The sequence below is a fragment of the Homo sapiens genome, chromosome 8, assembly GCF_000001405.40.
Source record: "Homo sapiens chromosome 8, GRCh38.p14 Primary Assembly".
Lineage (NCBI taxonomy): Eukaryota > Metazoa > Chordata > Mammalia > Primates > Hominidae > Homo > Homo sapiens.
Genome location: NC_000008.11, coordinates 85769932 through 85779866, shown reverse-complemented (window position 1 = coordinate 85779866; position 9935 = coordinate 85769932). Strand labels below are relative to the sequence as shown.

The 9935-nt window shown below is 48.6% G+C and overlaps 1 pseudogene across 1 annotated transcript, besides 1 other annotated feature; it reads left to right on the top strand.

Moving 5' to 3' along the window:
- Positions 1–3773: 3773 nt before the first annotated feature.
- On the top strand, positions 3774–4851 carry REXO1L2P (REXO1 like 2, pseudogene; annotated as a pseudogene). Its single transcript, NR_003594.1, has one exon. The product of NR_003594.1 is annotated as an REXO1 like 2, pseudogene (transcript).
- Positions 8421–8922: an enhancer, noted in NCBI's record as "OCT4 hESC enhancer chr8:86783174-86783675 (GRCh37/hg19 assembly coordinates)". NCBI's record gives its function as "activates a minimal SCP1, AML or CMV promoter by ChIP-STARR-seq in naive H9 embryonic stem cells {active_cell/tissue: H9 hESC(naive)}" and the evidence as "EXISTENCE:reporter gene assay evidence [ECO:0000049][PMID:30033119]".

The window sequence follows — 9935 nt, the reverse complement described above, 5'->3', positions numbered from 1 at the left end:
CAAAACGTGGGTGCAAAAGTGATGAGACCCCACACTTTACACTCGTGGTGACAATGAAGCTATTAAGTAACAGCTTCTCAACCTATGCTGTTTCCTGTTGGATGCACATAATCCATTTGCACTGCAGACAATTTTAGGATGTGGTTTACAGTAAGGTGGATGGTACCTTACGGCAAAAATCTCTCAGAAATTTATGTGTGGTTTTAAAGTCATTCCAGTCCTAGCACGTTGTGCTTTTCAGAGACGCCATAGCTGTTTTTCCCTTTGTAATATCAAAGCAGTAATATGTTCTCTGGAGGCCTGTTGGGTGAATTTAATGGAATCAAGTTAAGTAGGTGCCAGAACCATTGCTGTTTTCCCTCCATAGCCCTGCCACCCACTGTAAAAAGGTTGATGAGATTACTTAATGATTTCCAATTAAGTTGTATTTCCAAATATCATGATTTCCATTTTAATGTAGTTGGTATGGAGCTCTGTGAGTGTGTGCTTCTTTTATTATGGATCACGTTCAGCTTCTTTTTATTTGCCTCCTAGTCATAATAGTAAAACTCTACTCCTCTACTCCGAGGAGTCCCTACCACCCATCTCATCACTTTCCAGCCCAGCACTCTTCATGCTCATTCATTTAAAGCATTCAACATTGTGTAAATGAATCTTGGAAGGCAAAAGCTACTGAATTTAGCGAATTTGTGGAGGCATTGCCACAAATCAGCCAGGTGAAGTTTCACACAATCGAAGACTGCACAACTCCTAGAAGGCAGCACTATGCTGCAAACCCAGACGGCCACTCTTCTCACCCCTCGTCCGTTTGCTGTTCTGGATAATGAGGTTCAAAAGTCACCTAGGCAACTGCCAAAATAGCTGAAATGGAGAAAGGGCTTCAGGCTGGTGACTAGCAGAGGTCCACCTGACCCCCGTAAGCTGCTGAACAAGTAGGGCTGCCAGAAATGTCCCACTAGGGAATTTGGTAGAGACGAAGACATGCTCACCGGACAAGGGTTCCTCCCAGGATACGCCCGAGCGGAAGAAGCGGGCTCTGAGCCACGCCCTTTCACCCTCCTCTACCCCGCCCTGGGCTGGTGAAGGTGCGCGCCAGGATGTGGACTACTGAGCCCTGAAGAAATAAGTCCTTCCACTTTGACCCCATGGAGGATTGCCTGTGAGGAACTTAAACGAGTCTACCAGTGTCTAGACACGGGGGCAGGTCTGTCCGGCACAGCAGCTCCCTCAAGGAGGAGAAGAGTGAGGAGAAAGGAAACTCAAGTCTCACCATTCTGTCCTGGGAGAGAAGAGGAGGATCTCATCTCTCATCTGTCCAAACAAGGCAAGGAGACTTTCTCTCATCTTTCCAAGCAAGGCAAGGAGACTTTTTATCATTAGGAAACAAAAAGAATTTAGAAGGAATGAAAGCAGCCCGTAAGGTGAATTCCTAAGGACTGCCCATTGAAACTGACAAAATTGCCCTTGTTTGATGAGAGGAATGAGCAGAGCATTGATGTGGTGAACAAGGATCTAGTGAGACTTTCCCAGCATGTTTCTACCAAAGCTTTATCTAAGCTTCTCAGAACACTCTCCTAATAAGCAGATGTTTGGCCTTTCAGAAAGTCAACAAGCAAAATGCGTTGAGTGTCCCAAAACACTGATGCCATGATGTGGGCTCCTGACTGGCCTCCTTTTCCTTTGACTGGACCACTGCCACCTCTTGGTAGCCATCGCTTTCATGATGCTTTGCCTTGGCGATCATATTGGTGAAGCCATGTTCCAACTGCCGCTTACAATTTGTCAGAGGGATGCGTCAGGATCGTGATCCCTCCTGTTTAAAATTTCCACTGATAGCTCTCGTCGTAACTGCAGCTGATCTGGGCACAGTGGTTTTCACAGCCACTGCAGGATTCATCTTCCACATCTTCTCACCTCTTCTTGAAACAAGCTATACATTCGTAAAGAGTTCATTTCTTTGGGGTAGTGTCCTTACAAGCTTTTCTTAAAACGTCAATGATTTCTTCAATCTTCCACCCAAGCTTCACCATAAATTTGATGTTTCCTCTTGCTGCAATTTTCGTGGAATTCATGTTGCTCTGATGGGAGTCCTTTTCAGTGGATGTCTCATCCTTCTTAGTGCCTCAAACTAGATCTAGTTCAGAAAGGTTATCAGAAGTTAGGACAAGTTTATTTTAGTGCAAACCAGTGGAAATCCATGCATAGTTTCTTCACCATGTGCATTTTCTATGAACCTTTGGAAGACCACCTGTGTTGAACATTGCCCAAGTCCTGGGAGAGAAGTGGGTGCGGTCCGCTTCCTGTCCTCAATTTGCCCGCAGCGGCGGAGTGCACAGAGCAGGGAAAGGCAGCCCCAGAGGGATCCCGCCCTCCAGCATGCAGCAGACTGCTGGCCCAGTCCTGGCTCCAAGGAGTGCTGTGTGGGCCCAAGCAAGTTGACCAACCTCCCTGAACCTTAATTTAATCCTAGGTAGCCCAATTCCAGTAGCCATTATAGGACTGCCCTGCAGGGACAGTTACTTAACTCAGGAAAAGCAACCTAGCTCCAAGTTTAGCAACCGGGAGTTCCAGTTGATTCCATTAGCGCACCCCCTGAGGCATTCCCAAGCTGGAGTCTGGTGGAAGATGAGGCTCAGTGTGATTGGACTGAAGCACCAACCTATCAAGGAGAAGTCCCACCCAGTCTGCCCTGTGCCTATATAAAGGCGACAAGTGGCGGCCGCAGCACTCATTGAAGCCGCCAGTTGGGAGAGGAGCAGAGCCAGGCCGGTGCTCCCGAAGGCAGCAAGATGTTGCGAGCCACAGCTCCCTGCTGGTTCCCCCCTGGATACCCAGAAGCTAAGAAGGTGGCCGAGGAGGCGGCCCTGGAGGCAAGCCGCCATTTGGGAGGGGAGCAGAGCCAGGCCGGTGCTCCCGAAGGCAGCAAGATGTTGCGAGCCACAGCTCCCTGCTGGTTCCGCCCTGGATACCCAGAAGCTAAGAAGGTGGCCAAGGAGGCGGCCCCGGAGGCAAGCCGCCATTTGGGAGCGGAGCAGAGCCCGGCCGGTGCTCCCGAAGGCAGCAAGATGTTGCGAGCCACAGCTCCCTGCTGGTTCCCACCTGGATACCCAGAAGCTAAGAAGGTGGCCGAGGAGGCGGCCCTCGAGGCTCCAGAATTCCCACTGCCCTCTCATCAGCCTGCCCAGAGCTTCGGGCTCTGGGTGCCCCAGATGCACAAGCAGGCCTCAGCATTTGTGGACATCCAGGCGGAGCCCCAGAACAGGGGTCCGGCGGTGCCCCCAGCGTGGCCCAAGATGGTGACGGAGTCGTGCTACTTCCCTGCGCAGAGGGGATCGGCCTGCCGCTTGCCAGCCGCCCCAAGGCTGACAGAGAGGCCCTCGGGAGTCCGCATCTCAGCCCCCAGGAAGAGGAAGACGATCGCCCACTCTTCCAGCCCTTGCTTGGTCACAGGTTACACAGATGCCAAGAGAACCCGGGTGGCCAGCAGCAGCCAACGCTCCCGTGGCTCCAAGGTCGGCAGACAGCCAGGGAAGACGCGCAACAGGTCAGGGATGGCATGCAAGACCACCGCCACCACCAGCTCTAAGCGAATCGTCCGTCGTGCATCCTTACCGAGTTTGAGTTTGAAGAAACCCATTATCCTCCGAAGCTCTGGGTGCCAAGTCCCCACCGTCCTCCGCCGAGGCTATCTCCAACTGTTCACCGAAGAGTGTCTCAAGTTCTGCGCCTCCAAGCAGGAGGCCGAGGAGAAGGCGCTGAACGAGGAGAAGGTGGCCTACGACTGCAGCCCCAACAAGAACAGGTACCTGAACGTGGTCCTGAACACCCTCAAGAGACTGAAGGGCCTGACCCCCAGCTCCATGCCCGGCCTCAGCAGGGCCGCCCTGTACAGCCGCCTCCAGGAGTTCCTGCTCACCCAGGACCAGCTCAAGGAGAACGGCTACCCCTTCCCGCACCCCGAGCGGCCCGGAGGCGCCGTCCTCTTCACTGGCCAGGGGAAGGGGCCCGGCGACTCCTCCTGCAGGGTCTGCTGCCGTTGTGGCACCGAGTACCTGGTGTCCTCCTCGGGCCGCTGTGTACGCGACCAGTTGTGTTATTATCACTGGGGGCGGGTCCGCTCGAGCCAGGTGGCTGGAGGCCGGGTTAGCCAGTACACCTGCTGTGCAGCTGCTCCTGGCTCTGTGGGCTGCCAGGTGGCAAAGCAGCACGTGCGGGACGGCCGCAAGGAGAGCCTCGATGGCTTCGTGGAGACCTTCAAGAAAGAGTTGTCCAGAGACGCTTATCCAGGAATCTACGCCTTGGACTGTGAGATGTGCTACACCACGCATGGCCTAGAGCTGACCCGCGTCACCGTGGTGGACGCCGACATGCGAGTGGTGTACGACACCTTCGTCAAGCCCGACAACGAGATCGTGGACTACAACACCAGGTTTTCCGGAGTCACCGAGGCCGACGTCGCCAAGACGAGCATCACGTTGCCCCAAGTCCAAGCCATCCTGCTGAGCTTTTTCAGCGCCCAAACCATCCTCATCGGGCACAGCCTGGAGAGCGACCTGCTGGCCCTGAAGCTCATCCACAGCACCGTGGTGGACACGGCCGTGCTCTTCCCGCACTACCTGGGTTTCCCCTACAAGCGCTCCCTCAGGAATCTCGCGGCCGACTACCTGGCACAGATCATCCAGGACAGCCAGGACGGCCACAACTCCAGCGAGGACGCAAACGCCTGCCTGCAGCTGGTGATGTGGAAGGTCCGACAGCGCGCCCAGATCCAGCCACGCCACCGGTCCGCCTCTCCCGCCGCCCTGGCCTGTCCTTAGCCCCAGGCCTCTTCCAAAACCGCCATCAGTCCCGAGAGCTCACCCTGCCCACCTCGCCGCAAAGCGAAAGAAACTGGAGCAGCCGGCGGCAGGAGAGGGCAAAAAGCCAAGAGTAACCCCAACCCCCCACTCCCGGTCCCCCGGAATCCCTGCCGCGGCCCCTCGGGCCTGTCCACATCCCTCTGCCCCTCCCAGACCTCTGTCCTTCCACCAATCGCCTCCCGCAGCCCCGAGCCGCCACTCCCAGTCCCCCGAGTCCCTGCCGCGCGCCCTCGCGCCTGTCCACATCCCTCTGCCCATCCGAGACCTCTGTCCTTACACCACTAGCCACCCCACGTGGGACTTCCATGGCTTCTGAGTACAAGGCCAGCCCCCCGGCCCACCAGCTTTCGGAATGCCTGCTTACCTCTTTTTCTGTAGAGGCACCACAGGGAGGTGGGTGAAGCACTTCGGCTCTGGAGTTACAGATCTGGGTTCAAGGCCAAATTCCACCACTTACTAGGTTTGTAATATTGGACAGATAACGTCTTTGCGCTTCTACCTTTTGGTCTTTAAAGTGTGATCAAAAGAGACTTAGACTCCCACATAATAATAATAATAATAATGGCAAACTTAACACCCCACTGTCAACATTAGACACACCAACGAGACAGAAAGTTAAAAAAGGATATCCGGGAATTGAGCTCAGCTCTGCACCAAGCGGACCTAGGAGACATGTACAGAACGCTCCACCCCAAATCAACAGAATATACATTCTTCTCAGCACCACATCACACTTATTTCCACATTGACCACATAGTTGGAAGTAAAGCACTCCTCAGTAAAAGTAAAATTACAGAAATTATTACAAACGGTCTCTCAGACCACATTGCAATCACACTAGACCTCAGGATTGAGAAACTCACTCAAAACCGCTCAACTGCATGGAAACCGGACAAGCTGCTCCTGAATGAGTACTGGGTACATAACGAAATGAAGGCAGAAATAAAGATATTCTCTGAAAGCAATGAGAACAAAGACACAACATACCAGAATCTCTGGGACACATTTAAAGCAGTGTGTAGAGGGAAATTTATAGCACTAAATGCCCACAAGGGAAAGCAGGAAAGATCAAAAATGCATACCCTAACATCACCATTAAAAGGATGAGAGAAGCAAGAGCAAACACATTCAAAAGCTAGCAGAAGGCAAGAAATAACTAAGATCCGAGCAGAACTGAAGGAGATAGAGACCCAAAAAACCCTTCAAAAAATCAATGAATCCAGGAGCGGGTTTTTTGAAACCATCAACAAAATTGATAGACCACTAGCAAGACTATTAAAGAATGAAAGAAAGAAGAATCAAGCAGATGCAATAAAAAATGATAAAGGGGATATCACCACTGATCCCACAGAAGTACAAACTACCATGAGAGAATACTGTCAACACCTCTAGGCAAACAAACTCGGAAATCTAGAAGAAATGAATAAATTCCTGGACACATGCAACCTCCCCAGAGTAAACCAGGAAGAAGTTGAATGCCTGAATAGACCAATAACAGGCTCTGAAATTGAGGCAATAATTAATAGCCTATCAAGCAATAAAACTCCAGGACCAGACGGATTCACAGCCGAATTCTACCAGAAGTACAAGGAGGAGCTGGTACCATTCCTTCGGAAACTATTCCAATCAACAGAAAAAGAGGGAATCCTCCCTATCTCATTTTATGAGGCCAGCATCATCCTGATCCCAAAGGCTGAGAGAGACACAACCAACAAAGAGAATTTTCGGCCCATATCCCTGAGGAACACCGATGGAAAAATCCTCCATAAAATGCTGGCAAACCGAATCCAGCAGCACATCAAAGAGCTTATCCATTATGATCAAGTGGGCTTCATCCCTGACATGCAAGGCTGGTCCAACATATGCAAATCAATAAACATAATCCAGCATATAATCGGAACCAAAGACAGAAACCGCGTGATTATCTCAACAGATGCAGAAAAGGCCTTTGACAAAATTCAACAGCCTTTCATGCCAAAAACTCTCAATAAATTAGGTACTGATGGGACATACCTCAAAATAATAAGGGCTATTTAGGGCAAACCCACAGCCAATATCATACTGAATGGGCAAAAAGTGGAAGCATTCCCTTTGCAAACTGCCACAAGACAGGGGTGCCCTCTCTCACCACTCCTATTCAACATAGTGTTGGAACTTCTGGCCAGGGCAATCAGGCAGGAGAAAGAAATAAAGAGTAATCAATTAGGAAAAGAGGAAGTCAAATTGTCCCTGTTTGTAGATGACATGATTGAATATTTAGAAAAACCCATCGTCTCAGCCCAAAATCTCCTTAAGCTGATAAGCAACTTCAGCAAAGTCTCAGGATACAAAATCGATGTGCAAAAATCACAAGCATTCTTATACACCAATAACAGGCAAACAGAGAGCCAAATCATGACTGAGCTCCCATTCACAATTGCTTCAAAGAGAATAAAATACTGAGGAATCCAACTAACAAGGGATGCGATGTGCGAAGGACCTCTTCAAGGAGAACTACAAACCACTGCTCCACGAAATAAAAGAGGACACAAACCAATGGAAGAATATTCCATGCTCACGGTTAGGAAGAATCAGTATCGTGAAAATGGCCATACTGCCCAAGGTATATTATAGATCCAATGCCATCCCCATCAAGCTACCAAGGACTTTCTTCACAGAATTGGAAAAAACTACTTGAAAGTTTACATGGAACCACAAAAGGGCCCCCACTGCCAAGATAATCCTAAGCCAAAAGAACAAAGTTGGAGGCATCAAGCTACCCGACTTCAAACTACACTACAAGCCTACAGTAACCAAACAGCATGCTGTTGGTTGCCTTTTTGGTTACTGTAGACCAATGGAACAGAATAGAGCCCTCAGAAATAATACGACACATCTACAACCATCGGATCTTTGACAAACCTGACAAAAACAAGAAATGGGGAAAGGATTCCCTATTTAATAAATGGTGCTGGGAAAACTGGCTAGCCATATGTCCGAAGGTGAAATTGGATCCCTTCCTTACACCTTATACAAAAGTTTATTCAAGACGGATGAAAGACTTAAATGTTACATCTTAAGCCATACGAACCCTAGGAGAAAACCTAGGCAATACCATTCAGGACATAGGCATGGGCAAGGACCTCATGTCTAAAACGCCAAAAGCAAAGACAACAAAAGCCTATATTGACAAACGGCATCTAATTACACTAAAGAGTTTCTGCACAGCTAAAGAAACTCCCATCAGAGTGAACAGGCATGCTACAGAAAGGGAGAAAATTTTTGCAATCTACTCATCTGACAAAGGGCTAATATCCAGAATCTACTAAGAACTCAAACAGAGTTACAAGAAAAACCAAACAACCCCATCAACAAGTGCGGGAAGGATATGAAGAGACACTTTTAAAAAGAAGACATTTATGCAGCCAACAGACACATGAAAAAATGCTCATCAACACTGGTCATCAGAGAAATGCAAATCAAATCCGCAAAGAGATATCGTCTCACACCAGTTACAATAGCGATCAATAAAAAAGTCAGGAAACAACAGGTGCTGGAGAGGTAGTGGAGAAATAGGGACACTTTTACACTGCTGGTGGGACTGTAAACCAGTTCAGCGGTTGTGGAAGATAGTGTGGCGAATCCTCAAGGATCTAGAGTTAGAAATACCATTTGACCCAGCCGTCCCATTACTGGGTATACACCCATAGGACTATAAATCATGCTGCTAAAAGGACACACGCAGACGTATGTTTATTGCGGCACCGTTCACAGTAGCAAAGACTTGGAACCAGCCCAGATGTCCATCAATGATAGACTGGATTAAGGAAACGTGGCACAAATACACCGTGGAATACTATGCAGCCATAAAAAAGCATGTGTTCATGCCCTTCGGAGGGACACGGATGAAGCTGGAAACCATCATTCTTAGCAAACTATCGCAAGGACAAAAAAACCAAACACCGCGTGATCCCACTCATAGGTGGGAATTGAACTAGGAGAACACTTGGACGCAGAAAGGGGAACATCACACACCGGGGCCTGTCATGGGCGGGGGGAGGGGGAGGGATAACATTAAGAGATATACCTAATGTAAATGACTAGTGAATGGGTGCAGCACACCAACATGGCACGTGCTTACATACGTAATAAACCTGCACGTTGTGCACATGTACCCTAGTAATTAAAGTATAATTTAAAAAAAAATGGAAAACGAAAGTGTGATCCTAATGTCATGGTGCGGACTGAATGAAGCAGCACATGGCAAGCCTTAAAACGATCGCACATAGTAGGTGTTCAATTAATGTTAACTATATTTCTTTTCTATAATAGTTTATAAAGGGAATTCATGAACACTATGTGATTAATCCTTGGAACAACCCAACAGGTAGGTAAATAAAGCCTAATTTTATACCTAAAGAAACCATGCGGCTTAACTTGCCCAAAATAATAATGATTGTAATGAGCACTGGCTGTTGGTTTCTTATGTACTTGGTACTTTGCACGTATTAACCCAGTCAGTCCTCCTAATAGTTGTGAGAGAGATAGCATTCTTATCCCCATTTTACAGATGAGGAACCTGAAGCCCAGGTGATAAGTAGTTTATCCAAGGTATCATAGCTAGAAGTCGGGTGCAGGCAGTCTGGCTCCAGAGCCCCTGCTCTGTCCGCTGACCTAGCTGACTTCCCAAGAGTCAAAGTGGATTCTTCCCCAAGACCAACCAATTACAATGACTGAATCAGTCAGTCAACTTCGAACTGGGCTCCAAGAGAGAACGAACCATCATGCCTCTCTAAATCCTCATTTCTAGTTTGAATCTTCAAGGAGAGATAGACACTAAGTAGCTAGTTTTGCTGGAATGGCTGATTTTATCAATGTTTTCGGTGTGTGAGTGTGTGTGTGTGTATATGTATAGAACTAAATTAAACTGATAATTTGAATGCTTACACTTCCATTAGTTCAATTTGTGTATGTGAGCCCTCACACACATACATACACACACACAAACTGTTCCAGAACAGTGACTTAGTGAAAAACTGGATTTCCACTCTGTCAGACAAATTTCGGAAAGCACTGAAGTAGGGCATTTCTGATTGA